The sequence below is a fragment of the Homo sapiens genome, chromosome 4 (assembly GCF_000001405.40).
Source record: "Homo sapiens chromosome 4, GRCh38.p14 Primary Assembly".
NCBI classification, from domain to species: Eukaryota; Metazoa; Chordata; class Mammalia; order Primates; family Hominidae; genus Homo; species Homo sapiens.
Window position 1 is genome coordinate 151,543,531 of NC_000004.12, and position 24,927 is coordinate 151,568,457.

General features: G+C 38.1%; 1 protein-coding gene across 9 annotated transcripts in view; it reads left to right on the forward strand.

Moving 5' to 3' along the window:
• Positions 1 to 24,927, forward strand: part of FHIP1A (FHF complex subunit HOOK interacting protein 1A) — a 261,328-nt gene that overhangs the window by 134,355 nt on the left and 102,046 nt on the right. For 8 of the 9 annotated variants that reach the window (XM_024454201.2, XM_047416127.1, XM_011532221.3 and 5 more), the window contains one exon: positions 22,608 to 22,834. In XM_024454201.2, coding sequence (XP_024309969.1) covers positions 22,730 to 22,834 — 105 coding nt within the window. In that variant the 5' untranslated portion in view covers positions 22,608 to 22,729. Of the gene's footprint in view, positions 1 to 8,995; positions 9,080 to 22,607; positions 22,835 to 24,927 lie in introns of those variants that run through there. The other variant, XM_011532224.3, reaches the window with a different exon arrangement.

The window sequence follows — 24,927 nt, forward strand, 5'->3', positions numbered from 1 at the left end:
ACCTGGAGATAACTACTATTCACAGGTTATCTGTGTTCCTGAACTTATTTGTAAATATTATACATATATCTTTCACAATATAGGGCATTATACGTACACACATTATACATAATTATTATCATACCATGTATATAATTTTGCATCTTGCTTTTTTTGCTTAATATTATAGTGTGAGCATTTGCCTGTCATTAAATAATCTAAGTCACCATTATAATGAATGCAAACAATTTAATTTGTTATTTAGACTGTAGTGGACATATTGTTTCCTTCTAATTTTTTATAACTAGAAACATTTCTACAATTAAATGGATCAAAGATTATGGCTTAAAAAAGACTTCTGGTATGTTTGCAAAATTGCCTTTCAGTAGGTTGTATCTATTTATTACTTCTGTAGTGGAAAACTCTAGGGTGTTTCAAGGCACTGATTGATTGTGAAAATTTTGATGCATCTTTGCTAACGTGATAGATGATCTAGGGCAAGTGTCATGGCTCAAATTGCGTTGAACCAAAGTGCTTAGGGCAATAAGCACATGGTACTCCCTGAGTACTTATTTGGCTAATTTTCAATAGTGATGTGGTGGGATTTGTAGAATTCTAAGATTCAGAAACTGGAGGACACGGGACAAAATCATTTACTAAAGCTCCATATTTTGAAGATAAAGTGAGACACAGAGTAGTGAAGTAACTGTCCAAGTTCGTATAGCTGGTTGGGAGCAGAATAAGTATTATGTTTCTTGTTTTCAAGCTCTGATTGTTTTCACTATGTCACATTGTTTTTCACTTACCTTAACCCATTGACCCCGATCTGGCTTCACTTACAGTGAGACATAGCTGCCCAAACTTGGAGGTGCAGCTTATGACCATATACCAAAATAATCAATGTTTTCAACACTTTGGGTCTAAGATACAGGGATACTGATTAACCTCACCAAACAGTCCAACTTTGTCATTATTTAATTTCTCCTTTTCCTGCTTAGAGCTTCCCAGGTGCCACTGTTTAAGATCAACTGGAGGGAGTGTGAAGATGGGGACCTGAAATATGGCCTGTCCCTCACAGACCGAGACCTCAGACTCTGTGATGCTGTTTAGTGCTTTGTGCTTGGAAATAGGATTCTTAGGGGTTATGGGTTTAGGTGGTAGTTGCAGTGTCTGGCTGTGTGGCCTTTCCCCTCTTCTGCCATGGTATTGAGAAAAGGAAATCCATGGAAGCTGGCTCAGCTTGACTTAATCTTGCCTCTGGAACCAGTTCTCTGAGCTGTCATCTTAATACAGCCTTGCTCTGCAGGTTCAGAGGTGTGGAAGTTGGGAGGCTGAGGCAGGAGTTTGTCTTGAGCCCAGGTATTTGAGACCAGCCTGGGTAACATAGGGAGACCCCCTATCTACAAAAAAATACAAAAATTAGCCAGGTGTGGTAGTGTGCACCTGCAAAGCTACTTGGAGAGGCTGAGGTGGGAGGACCACTTGAGCCCTGGAGGGCAAAGCTTTAGTGAGCTGTGATCATGCCACTGCACTCCAGCCTGGGCAACACAGTGGGACTCTGTCTAAAAACAAAAAGTGTGGAAGTCCTCACTGCCCTCACTATTTTTGCATTTTCCAAAAGAGCAGTTGGTTTCCCAGAAAGGTCTGGGTAGCATGGATTAATATTTCTACATATTGATAATGTGGAATGAAAAGTAAATGCAATGACTTTTTGCAGTTTAATCTTTCTTTGATATTGTGTTAATTAAGCCATAAAAAACTAGTAGTTTCAAGGCAGAACATACATGTTAAATTCATATCCACCCATATTGCTAATAAGATTGACTAAAATTTCCAAGGCAAAATATTTCCTTATCCTTCTTTTTTTTTTTTTTTTTTTTTTTTTTGAGACAGAGTCTCGCTCTATCTCCCAGGCTGGAATGCAATGGCATGATCTCGGCTCACTGCAACCTCTGCCTCCCGGGTTCAAGCAATTCTCCTGCCTCAGCCTCCCGAGTAGCTGGGACTACAGGTGCCCACTGCCACGCCCGGCTAATTTTTTGTATTTTTAGTAGAGATGGGGTTTCACCATGTTAGCCAGGATGGTCTCGATCTCCTGACCTCGTGATCCACCGGCCTCAGCCTCCCAAAGTGCTGGGATTACAGGTGTGAGCCACCTCCCCCAGCCTCCTTATCCTTCTTAGTTTTCAGAATAACCTATCTATATCCCTCCTCTTGTCCTTAACAAAGAACAAAGGATGTAACTAGTTGATTATAAGAATTATTTTGAATTAAAATTTCCCTATTAAAAAAATTGAAAAAGAAACCTGCTTTGAAAAATGTCTCACCTTCAGGGAAAGGTGAATGCCTGAATGCTGTTATGCTGTTTATTATGCTTTTGGATGAGAAACTTTATTCATTCAAATATTTCTTAAGGGCCCATGTGATGGTTAATTGTAAGTGTCAACTTGACTGGATTAAGAGATACCTAGATAGTAAAGTGTCACTTCTGGGTGTGTCTGTGCGGTGTTCCCAGAGGAGATCAGTATGTGGGTGGGTGGGCAGACTAGTGGGGTACATCTGCCCTGAGTGTGGGCATGGAACATCCAATCTGCTGGCGGCCCAGGTAGACAGAAAAGGCAGAGAAAAGGTGATTTCCTCTCTCTGTCTCTCTCTCTCTCCTGAAGCTGAGACACTCTTCTTTTCCTGCCCTTTGACATCAGACTCCAGGCTCTTCAGCCTTTGGACTCCCGGATTTATACCAGCAGCCCCCACTACCTCACTCTCAGGTTCTCAGGCCTTTGGCCTTAGACTAAGAATTATAACATTGGCTTTCCTGGTTCTGAGGCTTTCGGACTTGGACTGAGCCACACTACCGGCATCCAAGGTCTCCAGCTTGCAGATGGACTCCTGTGGGACTTCTTGGCCTCCATAATTGCGTGAGCTAAGTCCCCTGGTAAATACTCTCTCGTCTATCTATCTGTCTGTCTGGAGAACTCTCACTGATACAGACTGCTATGTGATATTCATTGTGTAAGGTATTGGGGATATAGCAGTGAACAAAATGTAGACCTTGCTTTCACAGAGTTTGTAGTCTTGAGGAGCAAAAAGACAAGTTCTTCTGGGAATTCTTCCTAGTAGTGGAGACATCTAGGCTGAGACCTGAGGAGTGAGAAATCTCAGTTACCCAGGACTGAAGAATATGCCTACTGTGATTGGATCTGGAAATGGGAAAGTGGGGATTCAATATTTGGCTTAACTGTTAATGTGGACATACACACGCAACATGTTAAAGAAGGAGAACCATGAGAATATTTAGGTTTAATAACAGAGTCTTTATCTCAAAAAATGTTTTCTGCTACTTTAGAGCCTAAATCTTGTTTCTTCAGGTGGGCTGGCCTCAAGAGGTAGGGGGAGATTGAAGGTCTCAGGTTCCAATCACAAAGACATTCTCCTTGGTCCCCACTTCATCAGTTCCAGCAGCACCCGCCACCCCCTGCCTTGCTACTTGTTCCTTAGTTTGAAAACTGCATGGCAGTTTTTTCTCTAGGTTGGCAATTCTGATTAGAGTGGATTACTGCTACTCGGAAACCAGGAGAGAATAGTGTGACATGCTTTTGTGCAGTGGTACCCTTGATTTGCTGTATCTTGTCCCCTGAAGAGTTGTCATAAAGGACTGTAGGCCATCAATTGCATCCTGTATGTGTGAGCAGTGGCAGAAGTACCTGCAGATACAGTGCTGGTGATATGTTAGAAAGAAGGTATGTCTGAAACAGTCAAGACACACTTCTCTATTTTAGTGTGTAAATGGTAGCTCCAAGAGAAGAGCCACCCCGCAGAGAGGCCATAGGCTCACAGAAAGGTAAGGCTTAAGCTATAAGATCATCTAGTCTAATGTTCTTAGAACTTTCTTAAACACTCTTTTTTTCCCCCAAAAAAACGTTCTGTGGAAATCCAGAATATAAATTTGATAAAAAGCAGTGAATTGACACCTTAGAGAGTTTTAATATTTACCATTTTTTAAAATATGTGAAGCACCACTCCTCCCCAAAGCTCTTGGATTCTGGTAGGCACAGATGGAAAGATAGCTCATAGTAATGGCTCACTTTTGTTAGTATTTGCAGTGAGAAGGACTCTGTGCTGGGCCAGGCACAGTGGCTCATGCCTGTAATCCCAGCACTTTTGGAGGCCAAGGCGGGCGGATCACCTGAGTTCAGGAGTTTGAGACCAGCCTGGCCAACATGGCGAAACGCTGTCTCTACCAAAAACATAAAAATTAGCTGGGCATGGTGGCGGGTGCTTGTAATCCCAGCTACTCGGGAAGCTGAGGCAGGAGAATCATTTGAACCTGGGAGGTAGAGGTTGCAGTGAGCCGAAATTGCACCACTGCACTCCAGCCTGGGCCACAGAGTGAGACTCCCTCTCAAAAGAAAAAGAAAAAAAAAAAAAGATTGTGGTGAGCACTTATCTGCAGTGTCACTTTGAATCTCCCCTGTAGTCCCATGAGGTAGGCACCATCATGATCACCTCTATTTTACAGATGAGGCTTTAAGCTTGGAGTGGTTTAATGTCCTGCTGAAGGTTACATGGCTACTAAGTGATATAACTTGTGCTTGAATCTGGGTCTCCATGACTAACCACTCAATGCCTTTAATTAATAATCTAGTGGACTCTTATCACTAGATGCCTCAGGTTCATGCCAGCACCAGCACTGGGACCCAGGAATTCAAACCCCTGGTCTAGTGTTGTTGGTGCTACACCAAAATAGGTAACTGCTTTGGAAATATCAGAGTAATATTTAATAAGCGGGCTAATTCCATGGAAACAGTTTTATCAGAGGCCTTTGAACCAGAGTGACTCCATTTTGAATAGGGGCTGGGTAAAATAAGGCTGAGACCTGCTGGGCTGCATTTCTAGTAAGTTAGACATTCTAAGTCACAGGATAAGATAGGAGGTCAGCACAAGTTATAGGTCATAAAGACCTTGCTGATAAAACAGGTTGCAGTGAAAAAGCCAGCTAAAACCCACCAAAACCAAGACCAAAACCAAGATGGCAATGAAAGTGACCTCTGGTGGTCCTCACTGCTACACTCCCATCAGCACCATGACAGTTTGCAAATGAAATGGCAATGTCAGAAACTTACCCTATATGGCCAGGCACAGTGGCTCACGCCTGTAATCCTAGCACTTTGGGAGGCTGAGGTGGATAGATCACCTGAGGTCAGGAGTTTGAGACCAGCCTGGCCAACATGGCACCATCCCATCTCTACTAAAAACGCAAAAATTAGCCAGGCGTGGTGGCACACGCCTGTAATCCCAGCTACTTGGTGTTGGAAATGCAAAATACTTGTTCCCCGGTGCTGTAAAGAAATAGCACTCGAACATAAATTTAATTTTCTCAGCAAGGCAACTTTTACTTTCTGCAGAAAGGGTGCCCCTCGCAGATGGAACAATGGTGAGAGCACACCTGGACAGGGGAGGGGCAGGAGTTCTTATTCCTGATGCAGGTACCCTCTACTGTTGTGTCATTCCCCTATTGGCTGGGGTTGGACTGCACAGTCTAAACTAATTACGATTGGCTATTTTAAAGAGGGCAGGTGTATGAGCCAGAGTGGCGGGGTGAGTAGTTTGGCAGGAAGGACAGTTAGGAACAGGTAACTAAAGGTGACTTAGGTCACAGCAGGTGACTGGGATGAGTCAGGACAGAGCAGGTAATCAGGGGAACAGACGTAAACTACTGATTCGGACTGGTGGGAAAGTTGTTTAGTGAAACTAGAATCAAGTGGGCAAAGAGAACCAGGAAGTTTAAAATGGAGAATCAAAGAATAAGAGAGCTGAACATACTGACATACTGATTCTTTGAAGAGAAACTTGGGGTTCACTATATTTAACATTGGGAGGCTGAGGCTGGAGAATTGCTTGAACCTGGGAGGTGGAGGTTGCAGTGAGCCAAGATCACACCACTGCGCTCCAGCCTGGGCGAGAGAGTGAGACTCTGTCTAAAAAAAAAAAAAAAAAAAAAATAGTTACCCTATATGGTGAGAAAAGGGGAGGAACCCTCAGCTCTGGGAATTACCCATGCCTTTCCCAGGAAACTCATGAATAATCCACCTTTTGTTTAGTATGTAATCAAAAAATAAGCATAAAAATGGTCAATCAGCCACCCTCAGGGCTGCTCTGCCTATGGAGTAGCCATTCTTTATTCCTTTACTTTCTTAATAAACTTGCTTACACTTTACTCTATGGACTCACCTTGAATTCTTGCATGAGATCCAAGAGCCCTCTCTTGGGATCTGGATCGGGACCCCTTTCTGGTAAGTTTCCTTAAAAATACATGTAGTATGGGACACATGTTCTTTTTAAATGTAGCTTTAAAAAGACTAGCCTGTAGTCTTTGAAAGAGAGATGAGTATGTGTTAAAGTAAAGGGGAAAATTTCTCCTTCCTTCTCTTTTCTCCCTTACTTTCTACCTTTTGTAATCAGAAGACTTGAAAAATCTTTAAAAAGGGTTTATTTTTGAAAGAACAAGTGAGTGACAGGATGATTTTTCTTGTTCTCCAGGTTGTTGGTATTTATTTGTTTGCCTGTTTATATTTTTAAGTTTTTTATTTTTAATTTTTGTGGGTACATAGTAGGTGTATGTATTTACGGGGTACATGAGCTGTTTTGTTACAGGCATGCAATGTAAAATAATCACATAATAGATAATGGGGTATCCATCCCTCAAACATTCATCCTTCATGTTACAAACTATCCAATTGTACTCTGATTTTAAAATGCACAATTAAGTTATTATTGACTGTAATCACCCCTACTATGCGATCAAAGAGTAGGTCTTATTCATTCTTTCTATTTTTTGTACCCATTAGCCATCCGCACCTCCCCCCGAACCCCTATGTGTGTATTTTTAAATTAGCCAAATTACCTAGTAGCCTCGCATGAAGGGTAAATAGTTTTAAAATGGTAATTCAGTATGTAGAGTAAAAGCCAGTTTTTGTGTTAATTCTTAAGATTGGTTTGGGGTCATTTAGAACTATTAAAGATGGAATATTAGAAAATATTGATTGAACTTACTGAAACAGCTGTGGTGTGTTTTTGTTAGTTTGCCTAGCAAAGGTAATATTCTTTCTTGGTTTGAAGGCTTGTACCATTTAAAAGATTTCTGAATTTAAAAAACTAATATTTTCCCTCTCTCTAAGTGTCTTTAATAACCTTAGATATGTAGTTTCTTAGTTGATGGATACTGTGGTTCTAGTTGCTTGACATCCTGGGATGCAGACTCTGAGGTGGAGATTTGCATGCAGGAGTTTGTTAGGGTATGTTCTCTGAATCAGCACCTGTCAGGGAGAGAAGCAGGACTGTGCAGAGGATGATGTTGGACAACCATCAAGTCCTTTCTAAGGCCTAGGCTGACCCTACAGGAAGCTCTGAAACTGGGTTGACTCCCTCAGAGTTGTCCTGAATTGGGGATGGGGGCAACATCCTCCTTTAGTCATGGATATGAACTGCCCTTAAGGGGGAGGGCTTAATCACGGGCAAAGCAGCTGTCTTTGGCAGAGGGAAAATTCTGGAGAGGGCTGACAGCCCACAGCACTCCTGGCAGCTGGAAGAATAAACTTTTTGGTCCTGGAGGGATTTAGGGGAACCTGAGGGCATCCATTACAGTGCTATTAAAGCTTGAAATTTAGTAAAAGGGTAGGGGAAGTGGACAAAAGGTCATCAGATAATCTCTGTGTGATGAACATAGTGTTAAGGTAGATAGGTAATTGTACAAGTATAACTAAGATTCACTGCCATCCCTATCAAGATACCAATGACTTTCTTCACAGAATAGGAAAAAACTACTTTAAAGTTCATATGGAACCAAAAAAGAGCCTGCATTGCCAAGACAATCCTAAGCCAAAAGAACAAAGCTGGAGACATCACACTACCTGACTTCAAACTATACTATAAGGCTACAGTAACCAAAACAGCATGGTACTGGTACCAAAACAGAGATATAGACCAATGGAATAGAACAGAACCCTCAGAAATAACACCACACATCTACAACCATCTGATCTTTGACAAACCTGACAAAAGCAAGAAATGGGGAAAGGATTCCCTATTTAATAAATGGTGCTGGGAAAACTGGCTAGCCATATGTAGACAGCTGAAACTGGATCCCTTCCTTACACCTTATACAAAAATTAATTCAAGATGGATTAAAGACTTAAATGTTAGATCTAAAACCATAAAAGCCCTAGAAGAAAACCTAGGCAATACCATTCAGGACATAGGCATGGGCAAAGACTTCATGTCTAAAACACCAAAAGCAATGGCAACAAAAGACAAAATTGACAAATGGGATCTAATTAAACTAAAGAGTGCACAGCAAAAGAAACTACCATCAGAGTGAACAGGCAACCTACAGAATGGGAGAAAATTTTTGCAATCTACCCATCTGACAAAGGGCTAATATCCAGAATCTACAAAGAACTCAAACAAATTTACAAGAAAAAAACAACCCCATCAAAAGGTGGGAGAAGGATATGAACAGACACTTTTCAAAAGAAGACATTTATGCAGCCAAAAAACAAATGAAAAAGTGCTCATCATCACTGGTCATCTGAGAAATGCAAATCAAAACCACGTAAGATACCATCTCACACCAGTTAGAATGGCAATCATTAAAAAGTCAGGAAATAACAGGTGCTGGAGAGGATGTGGAAAAATAGGAATGCTTTTCCACTGTTGGTGGGACTGTAAACTAGTTCAACCATTGTGGAAGACAGTGTGGTGATTCCTCAGGGATCTAGAACTAGAAATACCATTTGACCCAGCAATCCCTTTACTGGGAATATACCCAAAGTATTATAAATCATGCTACTATAAAGTCACATGCACATATATGTTTATTGTGGCACTATTCACAATAGCAAAGACTTGGAACCAACCCAAATGTCCATCAATGATAGACTGGATTAAGAAAATGTGGCACATATACACCATGGAATACTATGCAGCCATAAAAAATGATGAATTCTTGTTCTTTGCAGGGACATGGATGAAGCTGGAAACCATCATTCTGAGCAAACTATCACAAGGATAGAAAACCAAATACCGCATTTCTCACTCATAGGTGGGAATTGAACAATGAGAACACTTGGACACAGGGTGGGGAACATCACACCCCGGGGCCTGTTGTCGGGTGGGAGGATGGGGGAGGGATAGCATTAGGAGAAATACCTAATGTAAATGACGAATTAATGGGTGCAGCAAACCAACACGGCACATGTATACATATGTAACAAACCTGCACATTGTGCACATGTACCCTAGAACTTAAAGTATAATTAAAAAAAAAAAAAGAAAAAACAAAAGCAAAAACAAAAAGATGTAATCTGTTAACAGATCCATTTCTCCCGGGTGTGTGTGTATGTGTGTGTTTATGTTAAGGAGGTTTGGTACATAACCCTGTAAAAATAGAACCACCTTTCTTACACAATTTATTTGATTCATGATGTGATTTGTTCTAGTGTTTAATTCCAAACCTGGCTAAGCCACAGATCTTTAAATTGCACATACAGGAATGTGCTTTGTATTATAATTATTTGAGGAAAAATCTGGGAGTATGCTGCATGGAGAAGATGAACATGATCTACAGAAATTTTCTAAAGCCAGGAGTCAAATTGCAGAATCTGATCCACAGTGGGAGATTTAATATGAAGATCAATGATTAATGACCTGCATTTTTATTTATAATATCACATGGTTTTATATTTCATAAACAATTACAAGAAAAGTACATATAATTAAATCTTAATTTGCTAATTTAAATTGTATAAAAACAGGGAATATATACAACTAAATTTGTGGGTATTCCTTGTATTATTGATCAGTATCTGCCATATGAAAGGGAAGAAACAAAAATGTTTTGAGTCTGCATTTTGGGTGATTTATCTCTCAATACAGTTAATGTATCCTTTCCTTTAGAATGAAGTAATTAATTGAGATACTTTAAGTGATTAATATTTAGTGTTTTTTTCTTTTAACTCGTAGGATAATCAGTTTTGTTTATATTTCTATCGTGTATTAGAATTACTAACCAGTTGGAATTGATTTGTATAGCTAGACTTGACTTAACCAGGGAAATGGAATATCTGTAGTGGCTGAAATGCGAAGTTTCTAGACTGTTTGAGTGATACATTGTGGTGGTAGCAATGACTAGTAAACCAGTTGTTACAGCTTCTTCAAGTCATTGTTTTGCCTATTTCCAATCTTTTAATCTCTCTGAAAGTTGGATATGTGATAGGTGAAAATTCCAAGACACTGTTCTGTTGACCTTATGTCCAAGCAAACAAACAAACAAACAAAAAACAAATGTAGAGGTTTCATTAGAGACTGAACTGCAGGAAATCACATCATGTTTTTATCAGCACTCTTTTTATTTGCTTAGGTGAATTGCTTCTTTGTATCACCCTCGGATCTATTCCTATGCAAGCAAGGTATTTATGCAGGAGCTCCTTCCTGGTAAAGCCATTCCTATACCCCTCTTATGATCACAGCTGCCCATTGACTCTTGGCTCCCATCCAGTCCTCCCAGTCCTCTGACTTTTCTTCTTACTACCCATGTGACCAGTCACTTTTCTCTAGGCTTCAGTTTCTTCATCTGTAAATGGGGATGACGCCCTACCTCAGTGGGTGGTTGTAAGAATTGAATAGACAATTTAGTGTGGTGCCTGGCACAGAGTAAGTGCCCAATAAACAGTGGCTTTTCTCACTGGTGGCTGTTACTGTTATCTGCTGATGCAAACACCTCTCCATAGTAAGCTGCTTATTCCCTGATTCCTGGGACTAGATTTTATTCACATTCCCACACTGCACATCTTGGGCTCTTGGATTAAATGCTTACTAAATCAATACATGAATAACATAAAAATGTGATCCCTACCTTCAAGGAGACCAGACTCTGGTTCTGAAATAATCACAGCAGAAGGCAGAAACTACATCACCATAGGGAGATGTAGTTAAACTAAAAGGTTTAGAGGAGAAAGATATTAATAGGCAGGTTTAAGGCAGGTACTTAGTAGGCACTTTGTTCAGCGTAGTGTTTTTGATGTTGGTAGCCAAAGGTTTTGGGATGCTGAAAATTTTTGGACATGTTCTATTTCTACTGTGAATTTTACACCCTTCAATTTTAATGACAACTTGTTCTTTTAACTGCACATGTGACAGGGATGGACAGAGTGCTCCCTTTTAGCCCACGCAGGTGGAATTAAATCTGAGGGCTTCTGTTAAAAGCATGCAGTTTCTTTTTATACTTTTGCAACCATTTACTAAATATGTTTTCATTTCTTCTGGTTTGCTATTAGACTGAATATATATGATAATTTCATATGCCTTGTAGTTAGTGTGCGTAGATAATTCAAACATTTTTGCTTTTTTAAGACTTCCATTATATAGTTATTCTACTTAATGACTTTGAAAAGATTCTTTCTCCAGAGAGAGAGAGCCAAACTGGAATTAATTATTTTTTAATCACTTTTTTGGGATAGCATGTTCTGCTTTGTGGTTCTCCCCCCAATCACAGAAGCTAGATTTATGAGAGAAATCACAGGGGGCTCTGTTCAGGCAGTTACTTGTTTGATTCCCCCAGAGGCGTTGGCTCTTTGATCTTCTACTGGTGTAGCTCCTCTGATCTTTTATTCTGTAAGGTATTTGTGTCTCTGCATGATGGATGTTACACTGACCCAAGTAAATGGAAGAAAATTTTCTCTAGCCTTTAAATGTATTGCTTTCCTTGTTCTTTCAAAAAACATACTTTTCTTGGGTAAGAACATTTTAGAGGCATCTGGCATCAAATCAACAGAATTGTGGCCTTTAATGGAATTTGAGGCACTGTGAAGTGGTTTGATTGGTAAGAATCCATTTTTGTTTCTTTCTCCTTGACTATGCCCCCACTTACACAATAACAAAAACAACTCTCCTCCTCCTCTTATTTTTTGAAACAAGAGTATCTGATTTCATTGAATTCTGTACTTTTTTATTTTACTTTTTTGAAATAAGAAAGTTCTTAAAAGGTTTTTATTGTCACTTTTATTTTCTTCCTTGAAGGGGAGGAAAAACTCTCAACTGTGTACAGAGCAAATTAAATTATGAGAAAAATAACCTATGGAGTTAAACAAGATGAACTGAGGTTTTGGAACAAATCTAAGAATTGCCTTGATGTTGTAGGTAGTTTAACCCATGATTCAGAGATATATTAGTCACTTTGATAGACTGTTGATTTGACTAATTACCCTGAAGGCTGGCTGGCTGACTGAATTGCTCAAGTCAGCTAGTAATTTTGATCAAATCAACGAGTAATTATGGTTTTGTGCAAGCAACAAATATAGAATACTGATTATGTTAGACTAAAGAAGATGTCATTGTGATATAATCATATAAAATATTTAATTCAAGCACCATAGCATCCCTTTTATTTTTTTCTTACTCTAAGGTTTACATTCTCAGAACAAATAATAGAAAAGGTTGTGGCAGCTTTTTGGAGAGAATAATTTTATTCTCTCAGTAAACAATGTATAAATGTGAACGATTCTCTAGTGCTAAGGTATATACTCTCATATTTTAAGTGTACTTTAATTATAATATGCGTATTTTTGGGAGCCTTCAGAACTAAACATGGTCAGATTTTTAAAGCTGAAAGTTCTCTAGAAAGGAGCAACTTACATGGGAGAGCTGGAAGTTACTGCTGCTAATTTCCTTACCAGTTCATTATATAGTTATTGATATTAGTATGATCAGGTCTACCTAAAATCCAAATGCTTGTATTTGTTTGGTTTCTATTCTATCATCATCCTTTCCCTCACTTTTGAAAATTCTTTCTGCAGAGGATGATGTTTATTATTGAATTCTAATTAGCAGTGTTTGTGTGCTATATTTGTGGGTTTTCAAAACATTTTAGAAACACAGACATGTTTACTTAATGGAAAAATCTGTCTTTAATTTTACTTGAGTTGTCTCTTGGATGGCTTACCTGTATTACATTCCTTTTCTATGAAAGCAGGAAATATAATTTACTTGGAACTCCGTGCAGATTTCAGTGTATAATTAGTAACGTTTGTGAAGCCCCTCCAGGGTAGTTATTCTGAAGAGAGCTCCAGTTTTGTATAGTCATTTCATTCATTGTATATGTTCTTGGCATTATCTGCCCCCTTAAAACCAGAGATTGAAAGGGAGAGATGGAGAGAGGGAAGACAATCATTTACAAGGTTAAGATAATTTTGAGTTTATTCTTCAGGAATTATAGATGTATACCTACTGTTTCCACCAGCCGCTCTCATAGTGTGGGTATCTCACTGTGCTGAAAGTAGTTCTTGCATTTGAAGACATATATTATTTTTTGTACATCCTGACCCCAAGTGCCTACTGCTTTGTTGGATATTCAGCTGTTTTGTCCAACTTAATGAGAAAAAAAAAATGTGTTGGTTTCCAACAAATGCCTCGCTAAGGGATGTTAGCTGGTAATTTTTGGTATTTTCATGTTTTGCCTTATTCAGTAACATCAGAATCTAGTCCCCATATATTGCAATTTCACTCTAATAGTATTGGGTCAGATAATCAATTTTTGGTAATTACCTAATGCATAGAATGGAAGTGAATTATTGTGAATATATGTGTTAATAACATATAAAATAATTTTTACATAAAAGGAACTATCTAGGTTCCTGTTTTGCTTCCATACTCTCTTCACAACTCCTTTGATTTTAGAAGTCAATTAACTCCAAAGTGCAGGATGCTTTCAAGGGGGAAGTAGGAACCTTGTCTATTCTTGCTCATTGTTTTCTACCTGAAGCACCAACTCTAGGGAGAAATAGCGCCAAATGCAAAATCTATCTGAAGCAAAACTTAATTTAGAATAGTCTTTGATTTTTCTTTTCTTGCTTTTGCTTTCTCTTTTTTCCCCCTGTGCAAAAGACATTGATACACACATGCTAATTTAGTGGAGAAGACTTTTAATTAAAGAAGCATAGATAGCCTGAAACCATTCAAGTCTATGCCAGTCACTCTAGAGGAAAGTGTAGATGAATTGAAGCAGAATATGGGAGAGTTGTGATCTACCCACTTGCTTCTGGAGGCTTTTGGATAAATTAATGCATTCCTCCCCATAGAGACAGCTTCTCTGCTTGGAGGGGTGGCGGCCATCCAGTCAATAAGCCATCTTTGCTGTGGCAGAGAAGTTGCTCAGTATAAGTTGTTTCAGCTTTTACTTTTATTTCTTGGAAGTACAGCATGGTAAGCCTAAATTCTGGACCTCCAAGCAGAAATTAGATCCTCCTTTACCCTTTGCTAATTGAAGGTGACACGAGGCTTTTTCTATTGTAGGGTCTCTGAAAAGGCAACAACTATTGATTATTATTTACATCTGTATGCTGAGCTAGACTTACACGTGTATGTGCGTGTGCTACAGTGTATGTTGTTCTATATATAAGGGAGAGACATTGAGAATGTATTCTTTGTTGAGTGAGATACAGTACTGCTTTATTCAGGGGTAAACAATCTTGTCAGAATTTCACAAAATGATGCTTGGGACAAAATGAAAGCTTCAAAGCAGTTAGATCTGCCATTAATGAGTGCAATATTTTAAAGAGGAAGTCTAAGAAACTTATTTACAGGTGCATAATAATATTTAGTTTTCAGAATAAATCTTAGTTGGAGAGAATAGGTTTTGTACGAGTAGAAAAACAATCTCATAAGAAAAGCCAATTTTAGAGTTGTGGTGTAGCCAGGTGCAGTGGCACATACCTGTAATCCAAGCACCTTGGGAGGCTGAGGCGGGCAGATCACTAGAGCTTAGGAGTTCGAGACCAGCTTGGCCAACATAGTGAAACCGTGTCTCTACTAAAAATACAAAAATTAGCCAGGCGTGGTGGTGCACGCCTGTATTCCCAGCTACTCGGAGGCTGAGGCATGAGAATCGCTTGAACCCAGGAGGCAGGGGTTGCAGTGAACCGAGATGCGTCACTGTACTCCAGCCTGATAACAGAGCAACATCCTGTCTCAAACAAAACAAAACAAAACAAAACAAACAAACAGAAAAAGTGTTGCAGTGAATAGTGCTCAAACTGCTTAAGTGAAGTTATGGTAAGCTGAGTGCAGGAAGCTTTTCTGGATATGAGAAATCTTCGTAGTGAGCTACATTTACTTTGACCGATTTCGTTGTTCCTTAAAAAGAGGTCCTAGAAAAAATTGTTGAGAACCATTGAGGCTCCCTGAAAGGGTTTTGGGGAACCCTAGGGTCCCTCAGACCACATTTGGGGAACCACTGATCTAGACTGACAAAAACTTTGGCAAAAGATTAATTTTACAAATTCCTAGAGCTAGTCACTTAGACTGAAGGTAAATTGCATAAATTTAATTCACTGAGTATTGTGCAACAATAATATTAAGACAACCACTTAAAAAGTGCTTCTGAAAATAAGACTACCACTCTTCTGTGAATTATTTACATTTTCCTGATATGTTATTTTTGTATATATTTATTCCATTGGAAGTTAACAACTCTTCTAGGTACAGATGCAGTTGGTTTTCCTTTATATGTTTTCTGTTAAATATCTTTCAGACATTTGGTAGTCATTATGATGGAGTCAAATAGCATATTGTATTAAGCTACTCTTTTATCCCTACTCATACCCATCAGGCTATACTCATCGTGCAGGTACTTTCCTTTCATATTGAGACTCAGAAGAGACTTCAAATATGTTGTCATTGCTATACTTATGGTAGACATAGCAAGTCCTTTTCCTTTTATTTAAGTTGTTCTTTTGCTTTTATTTTGTTAAATAAAAAATGTTTTTGCTAAGTAGTACATAAATATGGTACAAAGTTCAAAAAGTCAAAGAAGGTACAGTTTGAAAAGTGAGTCTTCTTTCTTCAGCTGTCCCCCAGCCCCCACTGCCCTGTGCTGACTCAGCCACCTTAAGAGTTCTTGTGTATCTTCTTAGAAATCTTCTATGCATCTACAATCATATGGGCTAATACATTGCTTTTCTTCTTACACAAATCGTGGCATACTATACTTGCTGTTCTGTATATATTTTGGCAGCCTTATCCTATCAGTACATTAAGAGCTGTATCTTTTTTATAATTGTAACATAGTATTCCATTACATAGAAGTGCTGTCGTTTATATAACCAAACCAGTATTGATGGATATGTAGGGTCTTTTCAATCATTTACCATTTAAACAATGCTGCAAGGTACTAGTGTAATTAGTAGCTATAGATAGAGAGTTATTGGTGGCTAAGAGAATGTGTCTGACTCTGACTTGATAGTCTGAGTCAGACTCCATGATATCTGTGTGACTTTCATGAGATGAGTTCTTTTTACTTCTGCTCTGTTCATAGCAGAACTTTTTGTTATCACAGAAGTCACAAAATTCCACAACTACATCTTCAGTAATACCATGAGAATGTGAACTGGCTATTAGCCTGTTTTGGGACTCGATTCTCAATGGTTTTACCATGAATGCATCTTTAAAGTGGGTTTTAAACTTTATTGAAGCGGGGCACCTCATGGACCCTTTATAGAATTGGCTGAAAACTACAGCCACCTCTCTTCAGAAAAATATGCCCACAGTTTATGAGATTCATGGATGTATATGGAATTTTATTGTTATTTCACTAATTACACTTAGTACTTTTATATCATGTAGATAAAGAACCTTTTTGAAAGATTGGTTTTTACGTTTCAAAAGGTAAGCATCACATCATCTGGATAACACTACAGGTTGCAAAGCTGCACATGTTCACATGAAGGGATTTAAAGCACTGGGTGGGGAACTAATTCTGATTGACAAAACTGTAGATACAGGTATTAGACTAAACAACATCACTTGCCAAAGGTACCTACTCTTCCAGAGAACATGACCAAGACAAAAACTTACATTTCTGTTTTTTTTCCAGGAACATTTTTTGAATATAACTTTATGAAGTGAGAGGGTTCTTCTTAGAAAGATTCAGAGCATCTACTTCAAGTCTCGCCTTTCAAGTTCTACCCTATAGAACTTGTCAGATCATTTTTTTCTGCGTTTACCTTAGTCAACTTTTAGGGTTTTGTGGCAAGAATCTTAAACAAGTTGTTTCTTAATAGCTTTCAACAAAATAGTGATGTGAAAGGATGGTGTATACTATCAAGAGTACAGTGATCAGTTGGGTTGGTGGGGAGACTTTCCCCAAGAATGGTCCAATTTTTAGGTTTCAACAAATCACCCTATGTGTATAAGAAACTTTTCTGTTCAATCGCCAAGGAGCTGATATCTCAATACTTGCTATAAATTTCAAAATACATAATTTTTACATTCTAAATCCTTGCCTATAGGGATTTAGTTTCTTCTTTAAATTTTTTTTAATTTTAAGCTTTATCGAGGTATAATTGATCTACTTAGTTTCCTAAATAGCTTTAAAATTAAGTCCAAAAACAAATTTCAGATAGGAATTTGAATATTTTAATTTTTCTTTTCACATTTATTCTGCTCATCAGTCAGTTGCATGGCACTTGGGTATGACATAGTTGGTAGCCTGTTCTTGTGAAATTAAGGTGTAAAACGAGGTAGGATTGTTTCGTGGGATTATTAAGTTTTAGGTATCTTGTTACTGTTTTGAAGCATGTATTTTCCAAAGCTGGAAACCATTTGGAATGTGTGTATTGACCGAATTTTCTTTGTGCACATTTTGTGTGTTAACTGGTGACCTAGAAGTTGGTGGAATGAAATAAGATTCTGATTTACTGAAATGATGGACGTTTTACAGTGAATGAGCTGGAGTTAAACTATGGCAAATTGAGGGAGGCTTAAGCACAAGGTCCAGAAGAATAGGGGGCTATTAGATGCTTGCTTTATTTTTCGCAGTCCAGCATTGCCCTGTGATATTGTGGTGAGAGAGAAAAGAGAACTGGGCCAGAAGATTAGAGCACAGGGAGGATTTAGGTTTAATAGGATTTTATGAGGCTCTAAGAAGAGGTTGTCTGAGGTAATTTGACCCAAAATGAAACACCCTCCTCAATACTGCTATTAGTTATAATTGAGGGCACAAGGTTCACCTCTCTTAAGGTGTTCCCAATATTTGATGAGTCTTCATCCTTAGATGGAATTTTACATGATAAGCACATTTACAGTAATAGACTTTTTATATATTTTTTATGTATTTAGTAGCAGCCAATTCAGGGCATTCCAAAGTACATTCTCAAACAATGAATTTTTCTATTGGCAGTTGCTCAGGAAATAAACAAAAAAAACCTCAATCATGGAATTATATTTACTGTGGCTGATTCCTGTGCTGTACGTTCCTTAAGTCAAATATGCCTTAGTAGTAAAAAGAATCCCATCTGCAACTAGATTTCTTATAAAGATTTTTGTACAAAGGCCATCATCCTTCTTTAATGATTATCTGATTACCCCTCTCCAATTGGTATAACAGTTGTGATAAAGTACATAAAATAATGACTCAAGCTGTAAGAGACCTAAGAAATCCTACTTTAGTTGTAACTGCTTACTTAAGTGACATTCCAAAAGAAGAGTCCCATTTTTCACTCAAGGTTTCACAGCTGGTTAGAGCTAGAACTAGAGTTTTGGGTCCCTGCCTCCTAGCTCAAAGCTCAGGTTCCCAGGTTGGGACTTTAAATTTTTAGACTTTCAGGCTTGGACTGAGCCAACAACTCTTAGCCATTACCCTTTGTTCCCTACTTTAAATCTACCTATATTCTCTAGCCATTTCCACAAACCAACCAGAGTAATATCAGGAGGGATGAAGAAGGAGGGGTAGGAAGGGAGCCAGCTGTGCTTCCCATCAAGTATAAGGTAGTGGTTTTGGTTTGGAAACTCACTGTGAAAGACTTGGCTTTGCCTCCCTTTTATCTCTAGCACTCTCCTGCCTGTGTTCTTGATCTCACCTTTCTTCTGCTCCTTTTGCTCCATCAAAAATCTTTTTCTTGTATCTTCAAATTATCCATGTTCATTGGTTCATTCCCATTAGGCCTGCCAATATAATCACTTTTCCTTCAATAAAAATGTTCCTCTGGCTCCGTCTCCCCTTAAGGTGGCCATTCCATTTCTTTCCCTTAAGAATTTTTAAAAATAGTTCATCATTAGAGAGTATTTATTTAAACAGATAAAAGAATTGAAGGATTGTATGAGATAATATTTAAATGCCAAGATGTTTATAATTTAAGTTTAGTCTGATAGTGAGAAAGGGATATATCAAAATATAGTTATTGAAAGTTCAGGAGGAAATGCGATTTTGACATATTTTTAGCTTTTCTAATTATTGTAGCTGTCCAAATAGTCTGAAGTTGGGTAAGATGTCTATCTGGGAATGAAGTTTTTACACTGGAAAAAGTGAAGAAATTTTTACATTGGAAAAGAGGTGTGATTTAGATGGCTAGAATCTGAGCTTTTATGATTATATGATATATTTTATAATTCTGTAAGGTGGAAGCATATGTTTTGCTTTTTGCATCGTCAAATAAATATATTTTTGAAAAACAGCAAATAAAAATAGATATAATTATTTGGCCAGTTATCCCTGTCTCTAACAATATTTAATATAATTTTTCTTTCCTTATTGATGGAAAGTATTTTTATATATAATATTAATGAGATATAAATATGGCCACTCAATAATGTCTATAGTCAGTTCTGTCTTTGCAGTGTAGAATTTATGCTGAAATATCAAGCTATTGTATATATATTTTGACAGCTCATCTCTTTCTTGCCCATTACCACAACCAAAAAACTCAACCACACCACACACCTACATGCACCCACTGTTGCAGAGTTCTTTGAGTGTTTTTTTTGTGTTGGTGGTTTTTTTGAAGAAAGATAAAAAAAAAATCACTCCTTGGCATCTAAATGGTTTGTAGAGCTCTCTCTCAGGCATGAAATTTGAGTCAATGTGCATGTGTGTCTTTACGGGAAGAACAGACTGGATGTGTGCCAAAAGTGGCAAGGTTTACTTGAAACATTTTTGACATCACGTACCTTAGACTGAAGAGTGCAGAGGGAAAGAAAGGAGAAACGTCTGATGATGCCATATTCATGACAGACTCATATTTTAGTGACTGCAGCTGCTTTACCTACTTACAGCTTTTGCCTCCATTCTGTCCTCTGTTCTTCTCTTGGGAGTTTTAGCATTGGACTGGGAATATAGAGATTTATATTCTATTTCTATCAAAACTAACTTGTGCTGGGCATGGTGGCTCATGCCTGTAATCCTAGCCCTTTAGGAAGCCAAAACGGGAGGATTGCTTGAGCTCAGGAGTTCGAGACCAGCCTGGGCAACATAGGGAGACCCTGTCTGTACAAAAAATAAAAAAAAAATTGGACAGGTGTGGTGGCACATGCCTGTAGTCCCAGCTAGTCGGGAGGCTGAGGCGGGAGGATTGCTTGTGCCCAGGAGTTCAAGGCTGCAGTGAGCTATGATGGCTTCTGCACTCCAGCCTGGTGACGGATTGAGACCCTGTCTCTAATAAAACAACAACAACAACCAACAAACAACAACAACAGCAAACTAGTAAGCTCATGACATTGGCTATTTATCCTGTCTATACTGCATTCTCACCGTTTCTGAGAAGATTGCATGTAAATTCCTTCTGAAAACTAACTTGAAGGATCTTAGCATATCTTTCTGTTTTTGATTTAGAAGCAATTGGCATGATGTATGTTCCTTTCATACCTTTGAAGAAGAATCTTTGAATTCTGGAGCTGGAAAGACCTGAGTCTTGTAGCTTTTCGATCTCTGGGATAACACAAAACTTTGATTTTCTTCGTTATGATCATTATGTAACCTAAATGAAAGGCCTTGACATTTTCACAGAAATGTAGTGTGTAGAATAACAAGGAAGTTGATTCAGAATCTTGTTTTATCTCTTATCATTTAAAACAAGGCTGTAAATGTAAATGTTTATAAGGGCTAGTGAGGTAACCTGAATGAGGTGAAGGTTCTGGCAGTAAGATCACAGGGAGTGGCAGGGACTGTGGGGACGGGAGAATGCGTACCCTGCAAATGTGGGATAGCCACTCTTGATGTTTGAAACACCAGATGGACCCAATAGTAGCAAAGGACTATGGTTGCCACTGGACAGTGTCCACTGAAAACAAGTTTGTAGTATTTGGAATTTTAGTTTGGGGAATTCAATTTTCATAATAAAATACAGCTGTAGAAGAAACACACAGGCAGTTTTCCTGGAGTATGTGATTTGTGTACTTCTTCTAACAGGTCGTCCTTTCTATATACCTTAACCCTCCTCCATTCTTTTTCAAAAATGTTTCTTTCCTCAGTACTATGCTTGCAAGTGTTCTGTTCTTATGTCCCAAAAATTCTTTCTAAGACCTTTTCATGTCGAATGGTTGCCCTCCTACTAACAGAAGTGCTTGTTTTAAATACTCCTAAACTATTTTCCAGTGTCTAATTCTACTCCCCACAAGGAACTTAACCCCTGAGTCTCCTCTGAAGCCCACTTTCTCCCATCTTACTGTTTGTAGGGAGGAATAGCCGATCGGTGTTCTCCTTGTAATACCCTTCCTATTACTGTGTTGATAATGGCTACCCCCTGTTTTCTTTTGACATTACAAGTCTACAAACTTTTATTATGGCTTTTGTTTTCCAGGGTTCTGGTAGTTGTAATTACTTTTTTTCTGAACTCTTCCCAATCTGTACACGAAAAAAAATAATATTTTGAATTATACCCAGTCCTTTTATGGGCTGATCAAACTAGTGAGACAATACCACTGCCTTACTGCTTTCGTCAGTGCCACACAAATGGATCATATTCACCGTACACTCTATGACCTCAATTTCTTTTTTCCCCTACTTGCTGTCTGGTAGTCAGGATTTCTTTGTATTTTTTCCATGTTTCATTTTTCATTTGTAAGTGTGCTACCTTGCACTCACACCTAATAAACACTATCTTGTTTTTGATGGATCATTTCTATCTCTGATTTGTCAAGGTTACTTGGAATTCCATTATTTTTCAGAAAAGCTAGAAACTTTAACCTAGTTTATAGCCACAAAATGATTGAGAATCCTTTCAATTCTGACAGCCATTGATTTAAAAAAATATTCAATCAAATTAGACCCAGGAATCTGGGTGCTGTTTTATAACACCTCCCCCAAGTTGCATCAAGCCGTTTATTTCTCTTGCTGTTAACTCATGGTTTTCCTGTTACTGAGTGTTTTTAAACTCTGCAAACACTGGTATCATAATAGTTTGGTGCAAAAATAATTGCGGTTTTTGCCCTTGAAAGTAATGGCAAAAACCGCAATTACTTTTGCACCAACCTAATAGTTTCTTACTTGATTCTAGGAACTAGACTTGAGCTTGAGTGCTTTAGAATAGTAATTTTGGGGGGTTGTGGCTGGTTGTAGTGGAGAGAAGAAACCCAATAATTGTTTCATTTACTCATGTATCTTAGCTAGCATTATTATTTTGTATTTTTAGTAGCAAAGTAGGAGAAAACAGGAGAGCCTTTAGATTGAGTATAATATCTGTTTTGTAGATTTTTTTCTGTGTTGGACTTTGAGAATGTCTAAGCTTTGATTTAAATTTAATAGTCAGTTTCCTATTTAATTTATGAACATAATAAAATTCATTTTTTTATTATTGCCATTACAGGTTTTGGAAGGTGACAATGAAATGTGAAGAAGTTACATTTCTCAAACTTGAAAGTTAGTGACGGCTTACCAAATTTTAATGAAAATTAAATATGACTTAGAAGCATTGATTTATGAAGGCTTATGATGTCATCGGTTTCGACAGAAAGCAAACTCCAGCAGGCTGTGAGCCTACAGGGAGTTGACCCAGAAACATGCATGATTGTATTTAAAAACCACTGGGCACAGGTAATGTATGAATTCCACTTTTTTTGCTGGTCTCAGTAACCCCAGGGGCCTCCATCACACTGAATCAGGGTTTTCTACCTCTGTGATAGGTAACTAGATTGCTAGAAACACAGGGAGGGAAACTCTTTCAGATAGGAAGAAAAGTAACTTTTTCTTCTTGCTTTCCTAGAATAGGTATCTGGTCAAAAACCATGGTTTTCACAAAAGCAATTAGGGTACATGCATGTTACTTGGATATTTTTAGAAGAACAGCAGTTGTTCTTTAAAGTGACTTTTATATCGCTTTGCAATATACTTGACCATAATTATATCCTCTCTCTCTCTCTTCCCTGCTGATTTCCTTCCAGTTCTTAAGCTCTAATAATACTAAAATACACATTTATTAAACATTTACCAAGTACTCTGTTGAGTACTTCAAATGCCTTATGTCATTTAATCTTGTCCACAAACCTGTAAGGTAGCTGATGTTAGTTTCCTCATTTTACAGAAGAGGGAATAGAAAATTACCGAGGTTAAATAACTTGCTTAAGGTTATACAACTAGTAAGTTACTAAGCCCATTACTTAGGCTTTGGTGCCTTGACTCCAAAGCTCGTGTGTTTGATCTCTGTGCTCTACCATTTTGGGGCTGGTGGTCCCTGTGTAATTTAATGAAAAACGCCTGAGTATACCTGAATATATGTCTTCATTACAAAGTGATTATAAAATTTTTTTTGATTATTTACTTTGACTTCTCTGATCTGCTGTGTGGATAATTAAGGGTTGAATGTTCAGAAAATTTACTATTCCGCCCCTTTCCTTAGGGAGTTTACACATAGTAAAATAAATAAAATTGTCATTCTTTACTACTTGCCCAACATTGCACTCCCCAGGTGAGCTGGTAAGTGGCTATTTATGTGACAGTTTTTTAATGACTACCCAGTTCCTTCTTGTGGCCGGAAACAGCACACTGGTTAAAGCACTGAGCCTGTAAATCACAGCAATTATAGGGGACACAGTTTAGATCAAAACCAAGCAAAATCAATTCTGCTTCTGAGCCGTTTATACTTTGTAGCTTCTTGTTACTATCTAGTATAAACCTTCTCCGATTTTTTGTGCATTCTCTGACCTTTTACCATTAGAATTTTAATGGATTTGCTATGGACATTAGGGCACATATGCTTTAGTTAAGGGAAGAAAGTAATTTAGGAGTTTTCCAGATAATTAGAGTAATAACCTTTGGCTTTGCACTTTTATAAATATTTTAAAGCAGTATCTCCAAGGCGAGGTGGTGAATCCTAAGGAATGAGCCCAGTAGTTCATTGGGTGTAGGAAGAATATTTTAGAAGGTCTGTTTCTATCTTTACCTTTTACAAATTTCTGTTTTGTGTTTAAAACGTACATTATACATTTGTATATTAGTGTCTGTATGATTACTAATTTATTTATTTGTGCTTATTTAAAAAATCTATTAGTGCATAATCATATGTTTTTAACTGAGAACATTTTCAGCTCCAGTCATTTCATTAGGCTTAGGAAGTCTATCTTACTACGTAATCTTCGCTCCCAGCCCATTTTGTTTATTCGTTTGCGCATAATACCTTTGATTATAATCATTTCTGCTGGGGTAACTGTGATATGATCCATTTAGTATTCTGTGCCACTTCCCAAAGACATGATATATCATCAACTTCTTGATTATATGTAGGTGGGTCATCTGCCCTGTCAGATTCTGTCCCAGGCAGGCTTTCTCCAAATGTGAGGAATGTGCCAGTACATTGTGTCACATTGTTGAAAGACTATTGGTCCCAGAATCATATTATTCATTTCCATAACAATACAAATGACTTCAGTATTATTGCACATTTTGGGTTCTCTGAAGCACAGTACAGATACATAGTACTCTCAGTGCAGACAAGTCTTGAGTTGAAGGTAAGGATAACTTTGTCATAGGGGATACTGTTTAGTTGTTAAATATTTTCTTTTATAAAGTTGAGACACTCATGGTCTTACTGTTGGCTCAGCCATTTCTTTACCTTTGGACAGGTGTTTTTAACCTTTTTTTAGGCTTGATGTTTCCTTTTAAATAAATCTGGAAAATGCTCTCAGTCTCTG